Source organism: Homo sapiens, chromosome 3 (assembly GCF_000001405.40).
Source record: "Homo sapiens chromosome 3, GRCh38.p14 Primary Assembly".
Taxonomy (NCBI): Eukaryota; Metazoa; Chordata; class Mammalia; order Primates; family Hominidae; genus Homo; species Homo sapiens.
The window spans coordinates 197,084,496-197,110,452 of NC_000003.12; the positions used below are offsets into that span (position 1 = coordinate 197,084,496).

The 25,957-nt window shown below is 36.4% G+C and overlaps 1 protein-coding gene across 45 annotated transcripts in view; it reads right to left on the reverse strand.

Annotated features, from left to right (window-relative positions):
- DLG1 (discs large MAGUK scaffold protein 1) overlaps positions 1–25,957 on the reverse strand; it is a 256,762-nt gene that overhangs the window by 41,936 nt on the left and 188,869 nt on the right. For 44 of the 45 annotated variants that reach the window (NR_158764.1, NR_158765.1, NR_158767.1 and 41 more), the window contains 3 exons: positions 20,408–20,510; positions 6,417–6,531; positions 1,085–1,261 (listed from right to left, as the gene is read on the reverse strand). Coding sequence is in view for 39 of the 45 variants with exons in the window: in NM_001366203.1 (NP_001353132.1) it covers positions 1,085–1,261; positions 6,417–6,531; positions 20,408–20,510 (395 nt within the window). In the remaining 6 variants the exon portion in view is untranslated. Of the gene's footprint in view, positions 1–1,084; positions 1,262–6,412; positions 6,532–20,407; positions 20,511–25,957 lie in introns of those variants that run through there. The other variant, XM_047447594.1, reaches the window with a different exon arrangement.

Genomic DNA, 25,957 nt, shown 5'->3' on the forward strand with positions numbered 1-25,957 from the left:
GAGACGGGGTTTCACCATACTGGCCAGGCTGGTCTCAAACTCCTGACCTCGTGATCCGCCCACCTCGGCCTCCTAAAGTGCTGGGATTACAGGTGTGAGCCACTGCACCTGGCCCATATTTTCTAGTTATGTCACTGGTTACAATTCCATTTGAATAAAATCAAATGGCTGTGAAACACAATATAAAAAACTGAGCATAAAATCATTTTAGTAAAATAAATTTATTTTTTCAGTTCTGGTGATTATTTTTAATTTTTTTATGTGTATATTTTATATATATAGATAGATATAGATATAGATATAGATATTTAGACAGAGTTTTGCTCTGTCTCCCAGGCTGGAGTGCAGTGGTGCAAACTCAGGTCACTGCAATTTCGGCCTCCTGAGTTCAAGCAATTCTCCTGCCTAAGCCTCCCGAGCAGCTGGGACTACAGGCGTGTGCCTCCATGCCCAGGTAATTTTTGTATTTTTAGTAGAGACAGGCTTTCACCACGTTGGCCAGGCTCGTCTTGAACTCCTGACCTCAAGTGATCCACCCGCCTCAGCCTCCCAAAAGTGCTGGGATTACAGGAATGAGCCACCGTGCCCAGCCTAATTGTATATATTTAAGTTGTACAACTTAATGATTTTATATATATATATTATATATATACATACTGTGAAATAATTACTACAGTCAACCTAATTAACATATCCATTACCTCACCTGGTTGCCTTTTTTTGGGGGGTAAGAACACTTAGGACCGACCCTCTTAACAAATTTCAAGTACAGTACTATTACCTGTAGTTGCCATGCTTACATGTTGGAGGTGCAGAACTCACTCATCTTGTGTCACGGAAACTTTGTATCTCATTTCCCCATCCTCCTAACCCCTGGTAACCACCATTCTTCTCTGTATGACTTCGACTACTTTAGATTTCACATAAAAATGTGATCATACGATTTTTGTCTTTCTGTGTCTGGCTTTTTTCAATTAGAATAATGCACTCCAGGTCCATCCATGTTGTCACAAATTAAAAAAAATTTAAAAGAACATCAATTATTTATGTTGCCTCACATTCAAGTGGTAAGAAACAGGCATACCTGCGTTTACTGGGAATCACTCCGACCTCATCGCTCTCACCATCTGGTGTAACCTGCCTGGCTTGCCACCATTCATCATCAGAAGCATTAATAACATGGAGGATATCTCCAAATTTGAAGTTCAGTCCCTGACTGGGAAGCCCACTGTCTTTAGTCTTGTCATAATCAAAAAGGGCTCTAGAGTCAGAAGAAAAAAAGTCCATAATCACTTGTTATAATATTAATCAACATATCATAGGGTTCTGAAAGTATATGTAATTTGGGTAATTAAATATATCATAGTAGGCCAAATAATGCCCAGTTCAATTCTGCACTGCATACAAGATAAGACAAAAAAGAAATAGCAAAATCAACTTGCTATGAAAATACTGTATTGTATTATTTGTTTCTTTCAATATCACAAGACAAATTTTAAAAACGCTCTTGGATTGTAATCCAATGGTAAGTTATATTGAATTCTAAAATAGACAAATCCAGAGAGTTTGAAATTAATAAACAAAAAGTATTAAGATACATTCTTCTCTTTACTTTGATTAGATACATGTAGGAAAACAAATTCCCTGATATATTTGATTTATTAGTTGTGGACTGTACGACTAGATCAACATAGTGACTATTCTGTCCATTAATTATTCCTTCCATTTGTTCACAATACTAGAGTTGATAGAGTTTTCAGAGTCAGTAACAATGATGGACACTAATTACAGATGACTTTAACAGCTGCCAAATATTTTGGAGAAAGTAATAATTTAATACGGTAATTGCAAAGTGTTAAGAATATTTTAAAATTTGATAAAAAGAAAATATTGTGTGCTACCACTTGATTAATTAATGTACAACATTAAAATAAATCAAATTCTTAAGTCCAAATAAGCTCTCTCAAGAGTGTAAGAAAGGATCACAGCAATTACATTTATAATATAATTTATTCATTCTTTTGTTCTAATTTGGCAACTGGAAATTAGGATGAAAATCGTAATCTTTTTCACACTACCCAACATTTAAGAACCTAGCTCTTCAAGTAAAACTCAAGAGGGGTGGAATTACTTGATGGCTAAATAAATAAACTAGTAGTTAATGGTTTTTCAAATGAGTTCTTTCAAGTCTTTTCGTGGGGCTAAAGGTGCTAGGGAAGCAGGGGGGATCGTTAAGCAGGAGGGCTCACTTAAACATACATTCAAACATAGAGAAGATGAGGGCACAAATAAGCATAATATAAAATAGAAAATAAAGTACCTTAAGAGGTAGTACAAATGTCAAGACATTCAGAAAAGGAAAATACTAACTTCTTACATTATTATAAAAATTCATCTTTTGAATCACAAAATGTAACAGTATTATTGAACAACAAAGGAAATCACCCACAATCTCTACTTACGTTAGCATTTTAACATTCTCTTTTAATATATTTGATTCATAAAAAAAGAAACCCATGGAATACATGTGAGTTATTAATCGTAAGAGTGCAATGAACATCTGTTCACCTACTACCCAACCCAAGACTACACACAAAACCTTCATCAGTAATTCACATTCACCTGCGTATATTCCCTCTGATCCTGATTCCCTTGGATCAAGAGTTAACCACTATTAGAATGTAACTATCATTCTTAATGTTTATTTCTTTGACTCATTCTTTTTTGGTTGGTTTGGTTTTATCATATAATATGTGAGTGACTAAAAGATATAATGTATGTTTTTGCTTGTTTCAGAGCTTTATAAAGAGGTATTCTGTAGGTAGTTTTTTGCAGCCTTTTTTTTTTTTGGCTTTTGAAATTAGAAATACATTGACTAAAAAAAACCCCACAAGACTCAGGTGTGGTGGTGGTGGTGGTGTGTGCCTGTAGTCCCAGCTACTTGGGATGTTAAGGTGTGAGGATCCCTTGAGCCCAGGAGTCCAAGACAAGCTTAGCCAACAGGGCAAGACCCCATCTCAAAAAGAACCATGAGGCTTCTGATTAACTATAGCACACTGTGTCTATTTCTTCTCCACCCTGACTCATTAAAATGACAATAAAATACGAAAAATACAAAAGAGAGAAGACAACAGGGGAAGAGAGATTTTAACACATTTCTGGATGATGCTAATTAAATTTAGCAGAATGAAAGAAGCTATAAATGGAGTGGCAGCAGAGAGGGTTATAGAAACAAGTTTTATTCCATAAGAATCCTGGAGATGGTCATAAATTAGAAGTGTACAGTAGTACCAAGGTAGGCAGGGATAAGTTACTGTACTAAAAACAGAAGGTAGAAACACTGTATGTAGCACTTAGACCAACCCCACCAAAGTTCCTTTTCCCAGTCCCCAAACCCACAGAAGACCAGTGGTTTAGTCTCCAGAGAAATTGAATTTGAGGAGCTGTATACTCTGAAACTTGGTGGAGAAGGGGAAGGTGGTTGGACTGAAATGGATGAAAATAAAATTCTAGCAACTTGGTTTATACTATTGGCAGGAGACAGGGATTCTTCTCTAAGGATATTTAATTATAGAAAAGAACAGAATGACGTGGGACAGGAGAGAAAATTTAAGAGCCAATTTATCCCCCCCTTTACCCCACTGTCTTCTAGTTAAATCCATTATCTTCATTTCTCTATTCCTAAGAGTGGAAAACAATGAAAGGAACACTGGATATTTAAAGAATGCCTTATATAAAACACTAAAGAAAAAACCTCCAAGAAAATAGGATAGCTAGAAAAAAGGAATACAGAGAAAGCAAAGAATACAAAAAAGCAGAAGAAAATCTCAGAGACACACCAGATCATGTCCACAAAAGAAATGGAAGATGAGGGAGCTCCTGCAAAATAAAACAGGGTATCATTCCCTCCCCCACATTCCAAATTCTCTACTGGGGAGAAGGCAAAACAAAGTCATTTCAGACATGCTAAGCCTCAAAGGGTGCCTCCCACACACCTTTTCGCAGGAATTTACTGGAGGATGTGCTCTAGGAAGATTAATTGAGAAAGAAGAAAATGTGGCATCTAGGAAACATGTGACATAGTAGACAGCCAAAGGAAATAGAATAATGGCAAAAGGGAAGTCCCAGCTGAGAGCTATACAGCACGTTTACAGAGGAACTAGTCTAGACTGGAGCATAAAGATAGAAAAAACCTGAACTATCAGACCGTATGTGTGACCATATGTTTTCATCATGTGAAAAACTCTACAGTGGTTACTGGAAGATACAGAAAGATATTTAGTAGTAAGAATATGAAAAATCAAATAAAATGCAAGACAATTATTAAGTCCAGGAAAAATGAAGGGCTGCAGAAGAAAGGAGGCAGCTCATAGGGTACCACTCGACTGAGTCATGACAGCTATTGCATAGTCACATGACTGTAAATGCTATTAGTTTTATTAACAGAGATAGGCTATGTTTGGGTGATGGTGATGAGACTGAATGAGTGGTTTGGTTCTACACAGAAACGTTCTCATCTACCATGGTTGTAAGACTAATGCGCAAAACTGGTAAAGTAGAAGATAGCAGTATATGCATGTTATTTAGAAATATAGAGGCGAAGGCTTCATATTTAGAAATAAGGAGGTGAAGGAAGTTTGCTAGGAAAATGGAGGATGCTTGTTTCTGGAGAATGAAACTAGGGGCTGGTGCCGGTGACAGTTGTTTTTCATTATAAGTCTTTAGATAATATATGGTTTTAAAAAATAGAAGCTGGGCACAGTGGCTCATGCCTGTAATGCCAGCACTTGGGAGGCCAAGGTGGGTGAGGCCCATGAAGTCAGGAGATCGAGACCAGCCTGGCAAACATGGTGAAACCCCATCTCTACTAAAAACACAAAAATTAGCCAGGCATGGTGGCATGTGCCTACAGTCCCAGCTACTTGGGGGGCTGAGGCGGAAGGATCCCTTGAACCCGGGAGGTTGAGGCTACAGTGAGCTGAGATCGCGCCACTGCACTTCAGCCTGGGTGACAAAGTGAGACCCTGTCTTTAAAAAAAAAAAAAAAACAGAAAGAAAATAGAGCATTACTTCTCTAAAAATAACAAGTGAAGATTCACTAAATGTACCGAAAATAAATATAACCTATTATGTTCTGATTTTTATGCCTTTGTAAATATTTAATCAAGTACAAATAAAAGGCAACACCTATTAATTATACTAAAATTAGGAAATGTAGATAAGCAAAAAAAAAGAAAGTGTAAAAAAGAGAGTAGAAAAATCCATGTTCTTCCTTCTTCGATATATTTGTATATATAAAATACTTTTAATGACTTTGGAACACAAGAGTTTAATGAGTACTGCTAGAATTGGCGAAGGGAAAAAAAAATCTGATGCATTTAAGATTCCCACATCACTGGTAGGGTTATAAGTACCAAGTACAGCAAAAGACAAAAGGAACAGAAAGAAGAAAGTGAGAAAGGTTTGCTTTCATGATGTATCAGAGTAAGATTATGTGAAGACAGTAAGTCATATCATATGTAAACAAGTACAGAGTACCTGTTTGTGTGTATAGATACACGTGTATAGGATACATGTTTATATATGTAACATATCTCTCTCATCAGAAGGATAAATGAAACGTATTAGGAACAGGTCCCCCAACAGAATCAGGACGACTGAGATGATAATTTATAAAGAATGGTTCAGATTACTTACAGTGCTAATGTTACAGTAACAGTATAATAAAGTTATCAGTTAAAGTTCTACTAAAAGTATACAGAATACAAATACATTCGGATTTCTGTTTTAAGTCTTATAAGCCAACGAAATGAAAAAAAAAAAAAGAAACACCCCAGTTTATATACTAATATCACCTATTTATTAGACCTATGTTGCCACTTAACCTTTATATATTATAGGAAAATAACATATTTGCCTTCTCCCAAGTGTTTAAAAAATGCATGTAGAAATTTTCCAAATATGCATTATTTACCGAGGCTATTCACATTTTAAATTATTATTTACATATGCCTCCTTTGCTACTATGGAAATTGCCAGGTAATTAAATGTTACTTGAATGGAAAATATATTAGAAAAGGACAGAGGTTAAATCTAAGTGTTAGACATGATATCATCAAGCTTGTAGTCACTACTAACACATCAATCTGAAAACAATTTCTGGTCCACAGAAATTTCTTCCTTTATTATATCATCATTATTCAAGGATTACATAACTTTCATTAATAAAATTATTAATACAATAATATTCCAATTCTTGAAAGGCACACTGTCAGAGAGAATCAATAATAAAAAACAACACTGATTGGCAATATATTTTCTTACGGTAAAACTAAGTAAGTTATAGTGAAAAATACAAAATAATTTACATGCATAACTAATTAAGATTTGCCATAATTAGAAGTAAAAAAATTTACCTGACATAGAGGGATCGCTTCTGGCTAGTTCGAAGAGAACCTGACCCTGAACTAATACTACTATTCATCATCTGCTCCCGTAAATCATGTATTTTAGCTTCAAAACGACTGTATTCTGATGGAAGAAAAAGAGAAATAAATTGATATATTTTCAAAAAATAAGTTATTTGAAGATAACGTATTAAATATGTAAACTGTCCTATAATTGATTAAATGTGGTTAGAACCTTAAAATAGTAATATGCGAAAGATTTTGCCCAACACATAAATTTCAAAAAAAAATTATTAATAACCTAAATGTACCATAAATTAGAATTGGCTGAGTTAGAATTTTTCTACATGCTCTTTTAAAGTTTATACCACATTTAGTCAATTAAATGACAATTTCCATGCATCAGACAGCAGTAATCTTATATTACTGTTGAATTTAAGTGTAAATTTTAAAAATCAGGATTTATTCTAATTTTTATATTAAGGAAGAAACCTATAATAATAATTAATACACTAGATGCTTTGATTATTGACTTTTTCCCCTTGAGACAATCAGTTCATTTTACATACTTCAATATGGAACTTGTGCAGGGTCAACATTAAAGGGAAAAATATGCCTTAAACAAGTGATAAACAAAATTTATTTTAACTGATTTTATAATTTATAAATTATCAAAATTCAAGACACAAAAGCAATCTGAAGTAATATTTGTGAATATTTTTATTTAAAATATTTTTTATACAAAAATATGATTTTGAAAATGGACAATTTAAAGCTACATATTAAAAACTACTAAATCTATTAATGACAAAAGTTTAAGCACCTTTTCAAAAATATTGCAGTTACATGGTTATAAACACATATCTTTTTTCCCCTCTATTTATAACAAATTGCAGACAACTAGGTCATTTCAAATCTGAGTTTCTTATAAAGCCTGTCTTACAGCAAATAACTTCTCTGGGATTTTGTGTAGGTTAAGATGACAGAGTAAGAGTAAGCATGATTATTGTTGAGTTACTCTTTCTTTCACCATAATCATCAACTTTGTTTTACGGATAATAAGCTCAACTGAAGCAACAATTCATCAAAAAGCTTAGAAACATTTAAAATTCCACATTAATAATAAAATATTTTACTATCCTTTCAAAATTACAACAAAACACTTAAAATAAAAACATAAATAGCCTTAATAGTAGAATGTATCCATCATAATTAAATAAATATCAATCCATGGCAAGTTGTCTTTGGTATGTGTAGAAACAGCTAAACTATAGACTGATGAATGGAGATCATAAAAATATATCATGAGTTTATACTGGTTTTTCTAATGAAAAATTAGGACCACTGGGTTTTTACTTAAGCTCTCCTATTTTAGCGTTGTATCTGCTTTCTTGGATATGAGTAATTCTGGTTCTCAAGATAGTGGAGATAGCAGAATAAAAGTACCGGCATAATGACTTACTTGTTTTATCCAATATTACAACAGTGAATTAGACCACCAACACTACTACCATGATATGATTACTGTAAACAGTTAACTATTTCCTGTAGCTTTTAATCCTTAGGCTATAGCTAGAGATGTATGGTTGAATTATTGTTTTCTTTTTTTATTTTTAGAGACAGGGTCCTGCCCTGTTGCCCAGGCTGGACTACAGTGGCACAAGCATAGTTCACTGCAGGCTTGAGCTCCTGGGCTCAAGCAATCCTGCCTCAGCCTTCCGAGTAGGTGAGACCATCGTGTGCACCAACATGCTTGGCTAATTTTTAAAAAATTATTTTTGGTAGAGATGGCATCTTGCTGTGTTGCCCAGGCTGTTCTTGAACTCCTGGCCTCAAGCAGTCCTCTCGCTTTGGCCTCTCACAGCTCTGGGATCACAAGTGTGAGCCACTGTACCTGGCCAATTACCATTTTAAAATCACTTGGAATAGTTCCTTCCTGAGTATTACTGTTGCCAAGTGGATACACATTTAGATTCATTTGTACTTTATTTTCAACTTCAATTTGCCTTTAAAATTTTTCATTGATTTTATAAGTAGGTAAAATAACTCCACAGTCAAATCTATAAAACACAGGTATTTAAAAGTCCAGCTTCTATCCCTTTTTCTCATCCTATTCTGTCCTGATCCTTATATGTCAACATTTAAACAATATAAAGATACCCACAAACACGCAAATACATTTACATTTATTCCATATTTTTATATCTGTATATATGTGTGTATATATACACACAAACATCACAAGCATAATACATTTCTTTTCTTTTTGTTTTTTCAGACGGAGTTTCACTCTGTCACCAGGCTGGAGTGCAGTGGCGCGATCTTGGCTCACTGCAACCTCCGCCTTCTGGCTTCAAGCGATTCTCCTGCTTCAGCCTCCCAAGGAGCTGGGACTATAGACATGCGCTAACATGCCCAGCTAATTTTTGCATTTTTAATAGAGACGGGGTTTCACCATGTTGGCCAGGATGGTCTCAATCTCTTGACCTCGTAATCCGCCTGCCTCGGCCTCCCAAAGTGCTGGGATTACCCACTGTGCCCAGCCAACATTTCTCTTCTTTCTTAAACAGTAGAATACACATTTCCCTGCTTTGCTTTTTTCACTTAATAGTAAGTATATCCAGAAGATCACTGCACAATATAGAAAGATGTCATCCACGCTTTTTTTTTTTTTTACAGCAATATGCAGTCCTTTATTTTTAACCTTTACTTCTTTGTGGTAGGTATGACTCTTATGTACTGCACAGGGTTAAATTCTGCTTCATTAGCAAGCCTGAAAATTGTCTGCTTTTATGAATTAACTTTTGATATAACTGAAATTGTTCTCAGTTCTGTTCTTACCATCCTGTCTTATTTATTCAAGCTTTTAACATAAATAAACCAGTGGCAGATTATATTTTCCAAAGATGCCTGCATCCCACATGCTCTTGTACACTGTGACCTTGCAATTTCCCCATCGACAGGTGGAATCTAATTCCCCTCTCCTGGAATCTGGGCTAGTGCTTTGGGTCATTTGTATGCCAAAAAATGTGAAAGTAATCCCGTATGACTTTCAAGGTCAGATTAGAAGAGGCCATGAAGCTTTTGCCTGGTTCTTCTGTAATGCTTGTTCAGTGGAAGCCAGATACCATGTAACAAGACTGTTCTAAAACCACCATACTGCAGAGGTCACATGATGGTGCTCTGAGCCCAAACTTCTAGCCAGTACCACCAACACATAAGACAAGGAGAGCAAAGCCAAACTGGGCCCTCCAAAGCAGCTCATTTGCCACCTAAGTCCCACTAAGTGACCTCAGTTGATGCCAGAAGGAAAACAAGAACCATCTGGCCAGAATCCTGCCTGAATTCCTAACCTACAAAACCTATTAAAAGGCTGTTTTAACCTATTAAGCTTGGGGTAGTATCTCATGAAGCAACAGTAACTGGAGCACAGTCTCACTATATGGTTTGTTCTTTTAAGTGTGTGTGTAACAATTCAGACACGCTTGTCCTTTTGTTCTAATGGCAAACTTTTGTTTGGCTTTTGTCTTTTGGTCTCCTCCTACAAGCAATCTTCCCAGATTGGATTGGAAATACTATCCTTTTATATCCAGTTAAAAACTTTAAAGCAATTAGGAGGCTTATTCTGTTTTCATATTATCCTCAAATTCTGTCCCCATTTTCTAATAATTGTACCTTATCAAAATTGTCAGAGCATATAGCTTTTTCATGTTATATACTCTCTTCCTTATAATCTTCTTCATTAATGCTAACACCAGTCCTTATGTCAGTATCTCTCCTCCTATCATTTTGGATGTCTGCAGGTTGTTCTCTCACCCCAGGAAGTGTTTATACGAACACTATCACTCTATTTGTTGATATATTTGATTCCAGTTTTTATATGTGAAAGTCTGTTTGATTCAGCTTCTTCCTTTATTGAGTATGTTCACTCCATTGTCTTCTATAAACTGAGAACAACGGAATTTTCTTTCTTTTTCTGCTGGGGGAGGGAAGTGGAATTCCAGATATTTTTTTCCTTTAAATCCTAATCATTTTATTATGGCATTTTGAAGTGTAGTTTGAAATAACTTTTTTAATTTTAGAAAAGATTTCTTGTCTATGCATTTTCTAGCATTGTTTTGGATTTCTTCCTAGGAGACTCCTATTACATGCATGTTGAATATTCTTTACCTACCTTCTATACCTGTCACTTTCAAATCTTTTGTTTCTTCTTACTAATTTTTTTTAAAGACTAGAGCAATCACAAACTGTTTTTCCTGAACCATTTGACAGCAATTTGCCTTCTTGATGTCTCATCATCCCTGAATACTTCAGTGTGTATTTCCTACAGATATTTTCCTATATAACTACAAAACCATCAAAAGTAACATTAATACATTACTACCATCTAATGCTCGGATCCCTATGAAGAGTCACCAGTAATGTTCTTTACAGCAAAAGGATCCATTTCAAAGTCATTTGTTGCATTTAGTTGTCACGTCTTTTTAGATCTTTGAGTCACAGCAGTTTCTCGGTGTTTCCTTGACTTTGTGACCTTAATACTGTTGGAGATTACAAGTCAATTGTTTTGTAGAATCTCTCTCAATTTGGGTTTGCCTGAAGTTCCCACACAATTAGATTGAAGTTATCCAACTTTGGCAGGAATATCACAAATGTTATGTTCTACCCAATACATCTGTATCAGGTGGTACACAATTTTGATTTGTCCCATCACCAATGTTATTAACTTTAATCGCTTGATAAAAGTTGTGTCTGCCAGGTTTCTCTACTGTAAAGTTACTTTTCCCTTTTGCAAATAAATTACTGAAACTGTGTACAATTCTCCATTCTCATCAAACTTTCAATTAATTCATTTATTTATATGAGTAAAAACTCATTATTTCCTACTTTATTCAGTGGGTTATAATCTGCCATTATTATCACCAACTGAATGCTGAGATTGCTCCTGATTTGGCCAGTGAGAGTCCCTTGAAGTTAGATTCTGGGTCCATTTGACATGTCTCCAACATTCCTTGAGTACTTGCTTGTTTTCTGGCAAAGGATATTATAGAACAATCTAGCATTTTCTTTGCCTGACTCCTGGGGAACCTGCCGTTTGTCAAAAAAGCCTTAGTAATTTCAGTGGGAAATAATATTTGCAAGGCAAGATCTGGATGCTAGGTGCTCACTGCTCTTGGGGTGGCACTAGGCTCAGGCCCTCTCAGTGGGCAGAGCCAGGGAAAATAACATACACACAGATACATACACACTGACGTAGATATTTATGTTTACATCTGTATCAATGGAAAACCATCCCTTCAAACCAACTTCTTCAGTTCTAATCCAGTATTACAGGATTCATGTTTAAGTTTTCTTCCCTTCCATATTTGTAACTCTCTTCTCAACAGTGAAAATTATGAATAACAATAACCTAACATATATATTAATTTGGTCAATCTGAATTTGAACAGCCATCCACTTCCCTGACTGGGCTCTGAGCATTCCCATATGTGCTTTCCTCACCAGCCCTCAGGCTCTGACTCCTGAAACCAAGGCATTACCCTGCATGGAAGCCAACCTCATGGGTAAGTCCAATGGGCCACCGAAAATCTCCTAAACCTCTCCAGATGTGAGGTGTAGATTAAACTATTTTTCTCTCCTCTACATAATGGCTTTAGGACTAAATTGATCAAGTTGTAGAAAGAGAAGGTCTATTTTTGCTTTACAAATTTTTCTTCTTTTTCACCTTCTTGGTTTAAGGAAGTATGTCTCTTTTAGTCAAATTTAGTTTTTAAAACAATGTTTTTATTTCTACTAATTTTCTGAGTTCTATCAACTTATTGATGTTGTTCTTCGACATACTCTATCATTTTTCTTTGTTTCAAAATATTAATTTTATTTTACACTAGCTTCATAAACTATATGTCTTTCTGGTACAGCTTGACTGTGGAGACATTACGCTAATCCTTATTTTCACTTTTCAAATAGGTTTCCATGGATTTGACTGTGATCTTTTCCTACTGCTCATTTTAATATGAAATTAGTTTTCCCCAACTTTTACATAGGAGTTACGAGTCAAGATAGGTTTTCTAACTTCACAGCTCTAGAACTCTCTATTTTGTTGTTTCTCTCAAGTGTTTAAAGACATGACCTCAGACACTGTGAGATTTCCTGAAACTTTACTTACCCCCATTAATCTGAACCTTCTATTTCCTTTGGCTCTATTATCCCTATCCTACTCAATTTGGATTTTATTCCCAGCAGTTCTTCCTTAGTGTGGGGCTTTAAATGGAAAGGGAACTACAGCTGGTTAACTGTGTCATAGGGCCCAGACTGCTCGTGGCCCCTTCATATCTTAGTGTAGATTCCTTGCACTCAACATGCAGATTGTACAAAAACTCTTATAGTTCACTTGGTGTTCTCAAATTTACCTACTGCATTTTCTTGTGAGGACTGGTTAACATTGGGCTTCTCCTGTTGCATCCCCTTGCACAGATGCTGATATCAGATGGTCTTGTAGCTGTTAATACCTTGTTTACATCAGCTTATATTTGGGGTTCATAGGATATCTTTCATCTTTTTGTCTAGTTTTATTGTAGATTTTTAACAAATTTTGGTTTGGCTTTCCTAATTTTTTTGAGGGAGAGGAGGAGTTTTGGGCGATTCAGTTTTAAATCTACTATCTTTTTTTGTACTTTCTTTTTTTTTTTTTTTTTTGAGAGAGAGTCTCGCTCTGTCATCCAGGCTGGAGTGCAGTGGCGCGATCTCGGCTCACTGCAACCTCTGCCTCCTGGGTTCAAGTGATTCTCCTGCCTCAGCCTCCTGAGTAGCTGGGATTACAGGCGTGCACCACCACGCCCAGCTAATTTTTGTATTTTTAGTAGAGACAGGGGTTTCACCGTGTTGACCAGGCTGGTCTCAAACTCCTGACCTTGTGAGTCGCCCACCTCAGCCTCCCAAAGTGCTGGAATTATAGGCGTGAGCCACCGCGCCCAACCCTCTTTTTGTATTTTCTGTTAGTCTCACTGGTTTATGTTTCTATTATTTTACTTCCTAGAAAACAACTAGGAAGTGATGACTTTTCAATATTACCTTTGTTTTTAATTTTACTATTTTAAATATAATTTATTTGTATTTCTGTATAATTTTATTTTTAATAAAGGCTATGTTTTAGTTTGAAAAATATCTGAAAATTTAACTGGCTCTCCCAAGCCCGTACGCTGTTGCTCTTGAAACAAAAGAGACTTCTCTGCTTCCTTAGCCCTGAGTTCCGAGTTCCTAGTTTCCCTTCATGTTTTGTTTGCTAATTCCTTAAAAGTTCTGCAATGCTTTTTAAATAAGATGTGTATTACATTTCATGTAGCATTATTAGTTTTTAGCAATTTTGCTGATCTGATTAATAGAAGTCCTAGTGATTTAAGATAGTCTACATTTTAGAAATTTAAAAGCTTTCTGTGTAAAAAGAACACATTACTTTTTAGTGATGCAGAAAAATATTCTTTCTTAATGAGTAACTAAGTTACTACAAAGCAGTTAACATAGTCTCAGATATTAAAAATTTAAGATACTGAAGAGCTAAGTCAATTCCTGATAATTTCTTAAATTTGTGATCTATTTCTTTCACTGTATTCAGATCTTCATATTTATAGTCTTTGCTTAGAGTCTTCCCACCCGCCCCCACCTCGCTCTGTTGCTCAGGCCGGAGTGCAGTGGTGCAATTCCGGCTCATCGCAGCTTCTGCCTCCTGGGTTCAAGTGATTCTTGTGCCTCAGCCTCCTCAGTAGCTGAAATTACAGGTATGTACCACCATGCCTGTTTAATTTTTATGTTAGTAGAGACAGAGTTTCATCAAGTTGGCCAGGCTGGTCTTGAACTCCTGCTTTCAAGGGATTTGCCTGCTTTGGCCTCCCAAAGTGCTGGGATTACAGGCGTGAGCCATTGCGCCTGGCCAAGTCTTTGCCTTACTCTTAACAATTCCTCACAGCTACCTTTCTATATGTTCAAAACATACTTCGGCATTTTAAAGTTACTTTTCCTTTAAACCTTCTATTTCATTTACCTACTTAAGATTCCTACCTTTTCCTTTTGTTTCAATCAATTGATACTTTTAGTCCTATCAGTCTCCACATTTTACCTATCCTGTGTATATTTTCGTAAATACTCCCACCAACATATTTTTGTTTTGTTTTTAAGGTTTTTTTGGAGACAGGCTCTTGCTCTGTCATCCAGGCTGGAGTGCAGTGGCACGATCATGGCTCATAGTAGCTCTGACCTCCTGGGCTCAAGCAATCTTCCTACCTTAGCCTCTCAAGTAGCTGAGCCTACAGGCATGCATCACTATGCCCAGCTCATTTTTAAAATTACTTGCAGCGACAGGGTGTCCTATGTTACCCAGGGGATCTTCAACTCTTAGGCTCAAGTGATCCTCTTGTCTCAGCCTCCCGAAGTGCTAACCACTACACCTATTTTCTTAAATTTTTATTTTGACGGAAGAGTTTCATCCCTTTTTTCAGTTAAGTCATTTACACTCCTCTCCTAGAATTACATCAAAACTCAGCAAAGCTATAATTTTACATAAGAGATTTTCTCCATTCAACATCTCAAAAATTCCTGTATCAAACCATATTTCTTGTCATGAAACGTATTAGGACGTATCTGAACTGCTGGCTACAAGTTAGTATGTATACGCTTATACAAGGAGAGATATTTAAAAGCTGATTTTTTCATTTGATATCCCCTTTCAAATTTTAACCTTTGTTTTCACCGCCACACTAGAAGTAAAAAGTGAGGAAGGGGTATGGGGGAAATTGGACTTCCTCAATCTCTTCTTAACATGCAATCCCTATAAAGAAAAACATTCATTTATAACTGTAATAAAATACATTAAACACAGATATTAAACCCAAGAGAAACAATTCTCAGAGGATGGATACTATTAATTGGCCTAAAGAAAAAGGGAAACTATTTTTAAGAAGGCCAGTTAGTTGTTTTAAGTACAATAGCTCTCTGGCATACTCGGAGGATTAGTTCCAGAACCCCACGTATACCAAAACCCGTGCATGTTCAAGTCTAACAGGAGGCCTTGTGGAATCTGACAGGCATATGGCATTTTCTATCCCAGTTTGGTTGAACAGCACGTGCGTAAGTGGACACTCGCAGTTCAAACCTGTGTTGTTCAAGGGTCAACTGCAGCACAGGCGCGTAGAAAAATACAGCAAGGGAAGTGGGAAAGCAGGAGACTGAAAAAAATTTTAATTACCTATCTACTACTGAAAATGATAAGAAATGACAAATGTCTGCAAATAAATGCCACTAGTCCACTGCAATCTTCCCAGATTATCTCCACCTCTTCTCCCTTTGGTTGGTATAAGAAGTAATAATGAAAATAAAGTCAGGACACTGGGTGTTAGAAATCTACCTTTGTAACTCAAGATTTCAATCAAAGCTTTGAAGCGCAGAAAAGTTAAGTGACTATGGCCTAACCTCTCTAGACTCTGGTCACTTGCAAAATAGGGATTATGCCACCAAACAGTTTTTTTCTTGCGAAAATAAAATATGTCACAAATATAAGACCTAACCAATGGGAAAGAGAAAATAAATTTAACTTATATATTGAGTTTCTTTCCAATTTATTTCTTTTATGGTATTATTACAATATAATTAATGCTTTCTGAACAAAAGATTGAGATATAAGCTCTGAAAGTTGGCCTAATACTCTTGAGGAACAATAAGATTAAATATTTGAGGTGAGAGATTCCAAGAGTTTAATGAGTAGTTGAAAGAGTAAGAACAGGGTATGGAGACCCACCCAGAACCCCAGAGTTGCCACAAAGATTTTAAGCTGAAGATATCTGAGATTCAACAGATGCAGGAAAAAAGCCTTCTCGGAGTTTCTCTAATCTGACTAAAAGGTGCAGCTTCCGAGAAATGAAGTTACCATAAATACCCTCTGAGGAGTCTGATGGCCCCGAAGAATGGAAAGACCAGTCATACCAGTTTAGACAAATGTCATCACAAACTTTATCCCCCATCTCTTCTCCTAAAAACTTGTCTTTCCTGAAGAAATGTACGTTTTTCTAATAAAAGCTGTTTCTCCCTCCTTCCTTTCCCTACTAGATTAGGTGTACAAGCTTTTAACTTCATCCACAAGCTAGCTTCAGTATTTCTTCTGTTGCCTCTTGCATCCATATACAAGAAACTTTTTTTCCATGTTAATCTGTTTTTTTTGTCAGTTTACTTCACAGGCCCGTTACTGAACATACAAGGGTGGAGGAAAAGGTTTTTCTTCGCTTAAAAGGGGCTAGAAGAAATCTTAACCGTTTAACAGTTGTGTAACTAGCAAATTACTTGGTCTCTTTATGGAAGAGCTTATTCAACTACAACGTAAAACGGGGATAACGGTGCTTACTTACAGGATTATCTTGGGAGTTAAAAGAGTGAATAAACATAACATGGTTCGTATCATGCATGGCGTACAGTTTTACTATTATATACTATCACAGGAGATTCTTTTTTTTTTTTTGAGACAGAGTCTCGCTCTGTCGCCCAGGCTGGAGTGCAGTGGCGTGATCTCGGCTCACTGCAAGCTCGGCCTCCCGGGTTCACGCCATTCTCCTGCCTCAGCCTCGCGAGCAGCTGGGACTACAGGTGCCCGCCACCACGCCTGGCTAATTTTGGTTTTGTATTTTTAGTAGAGACGGGGTTTCACCGTGTTAGCCAGAATGGTCTCTATCTCCTGACCTCGTGATCTGCCCGCCTAGGCCTCCCAAAATGCTGGGATTACAGGCGTGAGCCACCGCGCCTGGCCAAGAGATTCTTAAACTATAGGAAGTATGTGATAAAACTTTATAACTTTGGGATATGGAGTCCAAAACGAGTATAGTATTATATTTCCAGTTCCCATGTTCGATTATTTTTATTTTTATTTTGAGACGGGGTCTCACTCTGTCGCCCAGGCTCAAGTGCAGTGGTGAGATCATAGCAATCCTGCCTTGGCTGGGACTACGGGTGCGCACTACCACGCATGGCTAATTAAAAAACTTTAAAAAAAGTTTTAGCAGAGACAAGATCTTGCTATGTTGCCCAGGCTGGTCTCGAACTCCTGGGCTCAAGTAATCCTCCCACCTAGGCCTTCCAAAGTGCTGGGATTAGAGGCCTGAGCCACCACGTCCAGCTAATTTCTGATAATGATTCTCCAAAAAGATTAACAGTAAAGGCCCCCCAAAGTGAATTATTCCTTGCCTTTGGAATTAATAAAACTGAAAGGAGTTAGAAGATAATGTTCCTTCATATGTCTTGTAGAGATTATTTTTTCTCATAATCAGAATCCAAGTCAAGAAAGTTCAAAGTACACAAGCTGAAAAACCCATAAAAGTACTTTTTTGGAAGACTAATAAGGCAAACCATAGATCCTGAAAGATAAAAAACTTAATTCTACCAAAAGCTTACCTTTGTCTCTATCTGTCTGTCTTGTATGTATATATATAAGATTATCAACAAGGCAGAGAATCCCAAGCCTTTAGGAAAGATACTAACTGCAAGATGCTGATTATCAGAGTGTCGGATGACTCCTTTTGTACTTCTTAAAATCCGATTTGTGTTAATGTTTTTGTGTTGTGTGTGCGTGTAGCTAACCTGTTACTAAGCTTTGATGCTTTTCCCCACCTCTTATTATCTTTGTATGAATGTGAGGCTACTTTTAAATTACTTATTACTGGGGCTGGGGGCTGTGGCTCACGCCTGTAATCCCAGCACTTTGGGAGGCCGAGGCAGGCAGATCACCTGAGGTCAGGAGACCAGTCTGGCCAACATGGTGAAACCCCGTCGCTATTAAAAATACAAAAATAAGCCGGGCGTGGTGGCAGGTGCCTGTAATCCCACCTACTTGGGAGGCTTGAACCTGGGAGGCGGAGGTTACAGTGAGCCGAGATTGTGCCACTGCACTCCAGCCTGGGCAAGAGAGTGAAACTCCATCTTAAAACAAACAAAAAAAATTACTTATTACTTTGCTAGATTTTGCTAGAGTAGCTATTCCAGAAAGTCGAGGGGTGCAGGAAAGATAGAGGCACAGGACATTTTTACAGGTTTTAAAACCCAAATACTGTCACATTATCTGATCCTACAGAGGCAGGCTGCTTTATCCAAATACGGGTCCTCTGCTTTTCTAAACCAAACCACATTATGAGTGAAATTTTATACCATATCCTAAATTTGTGCCATCACAAACATTCTCAACATTCCATATTTTAACTCTTCCCCTCTTTCCGTGTGGCTTCTGCAAGACCTCAGCTGCTTAAGGAGTCTTTACCTCTACTTGGTTGTCCAGGTATCATACCTGCCTTCTTAGTTTTAGTTAATATTAAGTGAAGTTGTGTGGGTAGGAGCATGCGTGTATGTTTTGTTTTTCTTACTGCTTTTGTGTGTTCTGTGTGTTTTGAGGTTAGGGAGCAGATATTAAGTTACCCGTAACCATACCTAAAAAGTTTATATTCCTTATAAACATATAAATGAGAGGCTGTCTATAATACTAAGGAACCAGTGACTGTAACTCGGCTTCCATATAGTGTACCTACGGGGTGGAATATGTTGGCCAGAAGATAAAAGTACAACATAGGGTCCCATTGGCAGATTTGTTTCTCACAAAAATTAACGAATTGACATTCTGACTTCATACGTTAGTCTCTATTGTTTGGTTAATGTGAATTAATATTCAGAATTTACTCCCAATTAAACAAATTTTCCCCTGTTTAGTTACTAAGCCTAAAAGGCCAAGGTTTTACTAGATTGATAGAACCTCCCATACTTAAGAAAGACCAAGCAATGCTCAACATGCTGCTTTGATCAGCTAAAAAACATACTAGATTAAAAAAGAAATTCTGCTTCAAAAAAGAATAAATGTAATTAGTTGATAAATTACAGAATTACTCATTTAGCTCCTTTACTCACATCATCTTTTCCTTATTCATCATGTTGTTTATGAGCATCAACAAATATGCTATGTATTCTTTTGGGTATTTAAGCTTTCTAAATTCCACTGAGGTTTTATTGGAGATGTGGTTATGCTGATGTACACTAGAGTCTTACATATGTTTACTATGGCATGACCTCAAATTCTCCATCACCACCTTCTTCCCCCAGGAACTTAGTAAAGTCACATCCACCATACTTCACCATCTAGACACACAGTATACTCCAAACTTGGCATTCTTCTCTTTATTTTAAATAGCGGCAGTAACAGCTATTAGAAACATGTCTTAAATCTTGATATTAATAATTATAACCTAATTCAAAAGCTAGAAAAAATCTGGGTGACCTAATTTTTTTGGGCATTATTACTATATCTGCTTATGGTTTTTATTATTTTTTCAGATCAATAAAGTAGTAAAAGGGACATTAAAAGCTATGTCTTCAGTTACAGAACAGATTTAAAAAAGTAAACAGTTAAATTAACCCACATAATGGGGGTTTTGTGGGTTAAGCTTGTGGATGCCAGTTCCCACATCATTAAAAAATACTTTTGGCAGGGTGCAGTGGCTCACACCGGTAATCACAGCACTTTGGGAGGCTGAGGTGGGCGGATCGCCTGAGGTCAGGAGTTTGAGACCAGCCTGACCAACATGGAGAAACTCTATCTCTACTAAAAATACAAAAAATTAGCCGGTATGGTGGTGCATGCCTGTAATCCCAGTTACTTGGGAGGCTGAGGCAGGAGAATCACTTGAACCTGGGAGGCAGAGGTTGCGGTGAGCTGAGTTCGCACCACTGCACTCCAGCCTGGGCAGTAAGAGTGGAACCCCGTCTCAACAAACAAAAAACAAAAACCAAAAAAAACCAAAAAAACAAACAACTTTTGATCTGGAAAAAGAACTAGGTTCAGACTAAACAAATACTGGATTAGCAAATCAGAAAAAAAGCACAAAAAAGGAAGTTTAGCTTGGAAGTTAAACATTATTAAATATTAAAGAGGAAGAATTTTAAAAACTAAAATAAGCAATAACTATAGACAATAAGAATGTTATTACCTTCAGGTCGATATTGTGCAACAATTGTGACAGCCTGGCCAGCATTTTTCAATGCAGCTGCTGCCTGCTCATGACTAGCAGCTCTGAGGTCAACACTGTTTACCTGTAAATCAAACCAAATCTTAATTTGGGAGAAAAGAATCACTGTGATTAGAAATCACAATAGTCTATTCTTTGAGTAAGCATGTATTAAAAAATTAGTTGCAATAACTTTACCACTAAAATGTTTCTTGTTCTGATTGACTAAAAATATATTGTGTAGTAAAACAAAATATTATCATTCAAAGCTATTTTATTTACTAAAACCACCTTGCTTAATGTCAAGTTAGTAAAACCAAAACATTTTCCCCTAGAAGGCTGGGTATCAATCCATTGAGAAATGTACCTTAATTTGAGAACCTGAAAAATCAAGTGGCATCATTTTGCACACTTTATTTTGCTAGGAACTCAAGCAATGGGAGGGAAAGTCATTTTGCTTGTAGCATCCATTTACCTCCTGCCACATTCTCACGCCTACTGCTCAATTCAGTTCCAATTATTTTTCTTCCTGTACAAACTAAAACTTCCATTCTTTTGGTATAATAGGAAAGCTATTATTTAGAAATATTAAAACAGCTCAGATTTCAAGGACTGATTTAATTAGAATAAATGTTAATTAAATGAACCAGGAGTTATTTTTTGAATTAAGAGCCCTTCCTTAGGTGAAATAATTATCCAATTCTACCAGTAGGTACAATCCTACTCCAGAAGAAGAGGCAACTTAATTCTTATTTCTCAAAGGTTACCAATACTTTGCGCGCATATATACATATATAGTGCAAGGTACATTATCTTAAGAGATTGTTCCTTTTCCACAATAAGACAAACTTAAGAGGACATTCATGGAAGCATTATACTTGAATGTAATAAACTTTAAATACCGAATTAAAAAAAATTAAGAAGCAACAATGAATAGAATATGGCAATGTTCAGGACCTTCACTGAAAATTTTTGGAAAGGAACGATCATCATGCAATTTTTACACAAAAACTTGTTTTGTTGAGAACTAATCTAAAATCTGTTAAAGATCACATATCACTTTTAAAAAATTTGACTATGAGCCCAGAAATTCTTGGGATCATAAATTTACATAAAGAACATTTTAACCATATAAAGATCTGATGTTTTATATTATCTAAAAAGAAACCATTATGCAACTAAATTTAAATACATACCCCTTGAGGCTGGGCATGGTGGCTCACACCTGTTATCCCAGCACTTTGGGAAGCTGAGGTGGGTGGTTCACTTGAGGCCAGGAGTCTCAGACCAGCCTGGCCAACATGGCAAACACCTGTCTCTACTAAAAATACAAAAATTAGCCGGGCATGGTGGTGTGTGCCTGTAGTCCCAGCTACTCAGGAGGCTGAGGCATGAGAATCACTTGAACCTGGGAGGCGGAAGTTACAGTGAGCTGAGATCACATCACTGTACTCCAGCCTGGGTGACAGAGAGAGGGACGCTCTGTCTCCAGCCAGCCCCCCCCACCCCCCTCAATGAAAACCAAGATCTAAAATCCATAACATAAACAAATGTAAACAATGTGGTTATTAGTATCTCCAGCTGATGATGGCCATATAAAACTCAATACAATGTATAAACAGTTCTACTTAGTGCATAAAGAAAATCCTCCCAATTCCTGGGAGAACATATCAGGCAAGAAATATAAAGAAAGACAGGTTTTTCACAGATTATTGTAGAAAAGATTAAGAATGTTAATGAATTATTTCTGTGCACCAAACTCTTTTAAGAGCATAATTTGTTGAACAAAACTACATATTAAAGACTTTCCAGACTATCACTGAACATTTCAATTGAAGATACATTATTAAGGATATTTTAGAAGAAATTCCAGTACTGAGAGAGATACTTGTATAAATAGCCTTAGAGTCACTTTTTTTCTTTTACACCGACATTTTTAAAAATGGAGAAATAATTCGCATACCATAGAATTCACATTTTTAAAGCATATAGTTTAGTGGTTTTTGGTATATTTGCAAGTCTGTGCAACCATCATTACCACCTAATTCCAAAATATTTTCATTACCCCAAAAAGAAACTCTGTATCCACTGACAGTCACTCCTGTGTCTCCTCTCCATCCCTGGCAACTACGAAGCTACTTTCTGACCATACTGTACATATACCTATATATACCTATTCGGTATATTTCAAATAAACGGGATATATAATATGTAGCCATCTGTGCTTGGCTTCTTTCACTTATTTTCCAGGTTCACCCTTGGAGCATGTATCAGTACTTCATTCCTTATATTTAGTGGCGCTAAATAATGCGCCACTAAAATCCATTAAAAATGGATATACTGGCCAGGTGTGGTGGCTCACGCCTGTAATCCCAGCACTTTGGGAGGCCAAGGCAGGCAGATCACGAGGTCAGGAGATCGAGACCTTCCTGGGTAACATGGTGAAACCCTGTCTCTACTAAAAATACAAAAAAATTAGCCGGGCGTGGTGGCAGGCACCTGTAGTCCCAGCTACTTGGGAGGCTGAGGCAGGAGAATGGCGTGAAGCTGGGAGGCGGAGCTTGCAGTGAACAGAGATTGCGCCACTGCACTCCAGCCTGGGCGACAGAGCAAGACTCTGTCTCAAGAACAAAAAACAAAAAAACCAAACCCAAAAAAAAAAGGATATACCACTTTTGTTGATCCATGTCCTTAAATTTATACTTAAGTATTTTATTCTTTTTGATAGTATTATAAATCAATGTTTTCTTTGTCTATCCTGCAAATTTAACTGAACTCATTTATTAGCTTGACAGTCTGTTGTTGTATTTCTTAAGATTTTTTCTATACAAGATTATGTCATCTGCAAACAGAAATAGTTTTCTTGCTTTTTATTCTGGTAGCCTTTTTTTTTTTTTAATCTTGCCTAATTTCTAGAACCTCCAGGACAATGTTGAATAGAAGTAGGAAGAGCAGATACCCTTGTCTTGTTCCTGATTTTAGAGGGAAAGCTTTCAGTCTCTCACCATTTAGTATGATGTCAGCTATAGGGTTTCCAGAGATACCCTTTAACAGGTTGAAGTTCCCTTTTATTCCTAGTCTATTTAGTGTTCTTATCATGAAAAGCTGTTGGTTTATGACAATTGCTTTTTCTGTGTCTACTGAGATATCATGTGCTTTATGTCCTTTATTAAGATGGTGTCTTACTTTGATTGGTTTTTCTATGTTGAACTAACCATGCATTCCTTGAATAAATTCCATTTGGTTATGGTACATCATCCTTGTTCATGCTGTTGGATCCAGGTTGTTATTTTGTTGATTTTTACATCTATATTCATATGGGATATTGGTTTGTAATTTTTTCTTCTTGTGATGTCTTTGGTTTGGTATAAGGATAATACTGGCCACACAGAATGAGCTGGAAAGCATTCCTCATGCTTATTCCTTTTTGGGGAAGAGTTTGTGAATGATTGGTGTTAATTCTTTAAATGTTTGGCAGAATGTACCAGTGCAGCCATCTGGTCCTGGGATTTTTGTGTTTTGTTAGTTTTTGATTACTAATTCAATTTCCTTGTTTTAAATCTATTAAAATTCTCTATTTCTTCTTGAGTTAGTTTCAGTAGTTTATGTCTTTCTAGAAATGTATTGGTAATTAGAGTATATAACTATAAAATATATACCATCTATGACTACATAATGATATACTATAAATGTCTTTCGCCTTTAGTAATAATGTTTTTCTTCAAGCGTCCTTTGATATTAGTCATATTAGTACAGCCACAGTAGGTGTCTTTTGGTTACTTTTTGTGTAATGCATCTTTTCCACCCGTTTACTTTCAACCTTTTTGTGTCTTTGAGTCTAAAGTGTCTCTCTTGTAGACCCTGTGTAGTTGGATTCTGTTTTCTAATCTACTTTATCAACATCTTTGGCCTTTTAACTGGAGTGCTTAATCTGTTTATATTTAATATAATTACTGATAATGTAGAATTTACTTAATTTGGTTATTTGTTCTATGTCTTTTCTTTCTCTATTCCTCAATTACTGCATTATTTTTATATTAAATAGATATTTCCTAGTGTACCATTTTAATTCCCATGTCATTAATTTTACTACATATATTTGTTAGTCATTTTCTTAGTGGTTATCTTGGATTATAAGTAAAAATTTAAAGCCAGATGTGGTGGTTCTAGACTGTAATCCCAGTGACTCAGGTGGCTCAGGCAAAAGGACTGAAGCAGGAGCATCACTTGAGTACAACACTTTGAGGGCTGGCTAGGCATCACAGTGAGACCCTTATCTCTAAAAAAATAAAGAAAACAATTCAGCCAGGTGTAGTGGTGCATACCTGCAGCCCAGCTACTCGGGAGGCTGAGGCACGAGGATTGCCTGAGTAAGTTTGAGGCTGCAGTGAGCTATGACTGTGCTACTGCACTCCAGCCTGGGGGACAGAGTGAGATGCTGCCTCTAAAAATAAATAAGTAAACAAACAAACATTTTATAAGAACCTAGTTTCTTTACCCGCCTTGTGGTGTTGTCATATTAATTTTATGTTTATACGATGTGTGCACATCAAATTTGTAATTATTGCTTTATTCAGTTGTTTTTAAAATCAGGTTGGAGAAAAAAAGAGTTGCATATAAAACAATACCCTTATGTTGTTTTATATTTACCTGTGTAGTTGCCTTTACTTAGGCTCTTTATTTCTTCATGTGGATTTGAGTTACTCTCTAGTTTCCTTTCATTTTAGTCTGAAGGATTCTCTTATTTCCTATAGGGCAGGTTTTTGAGAGATGAACTCCTTCAGCTTTTGTTTATCTGGCAATGTCCTGATTTCTTCTTTATTTTCAAAAGATAGTTTTGCTGGATATAGAGTTCTAGTCAACAAAGTTTTTTTCTTTTCAGAATTTTGAATTTGTTATTTCACTGCTTTCTGACCTCCATGGTTTCTGATGAGAAATCAGCTATTAACCTTGTTGAGGATCCCTTGCACGTGGTGAGTCATTTCTTTTTGCTACTTTCAATATTCTGCCTTCGGCTTTAGACAGTTCGATTGTAATGTGTCTATGTTGTAGATCTCTTTAAATTAATTTAACTTGGAGTTCACTGAGGTTCTTGGATTAATGGTTTTAATCAAGTTCTAGAAGTTTTTGGGCGAGTATTTATTCAAATATTCTTTCTTCTTTTTTCTCTCTTTCCCATCTTTCACATACTCCCATTATGTTGGTAAATTTGATAGTATCCCATAGGTCTCTGAAGCTGTTAATTTTTCTTCATTCTTTCTTTCTTTGTTATTGTTCAGTTCTTCAGCATCAAAATCTCAATTGACCCATCTTCAAGTTTGCTGATTCTTTCTTCTGCCAGCTCAAATCTGCTGTTGACCTTGTCTAGAGAATTTTTCATTTAAGTTACTGTACTTTCCAACTCCAGAATTTCTATTTGGTTCTTACATATAATTTCTAACTCTTTATTGATATTTTTTACATGGTGAGATATTGTTCCTTTACTTTCATGTCAGTCTACAGGATGGTTTTCTTTTATTCCTTGAACGTATT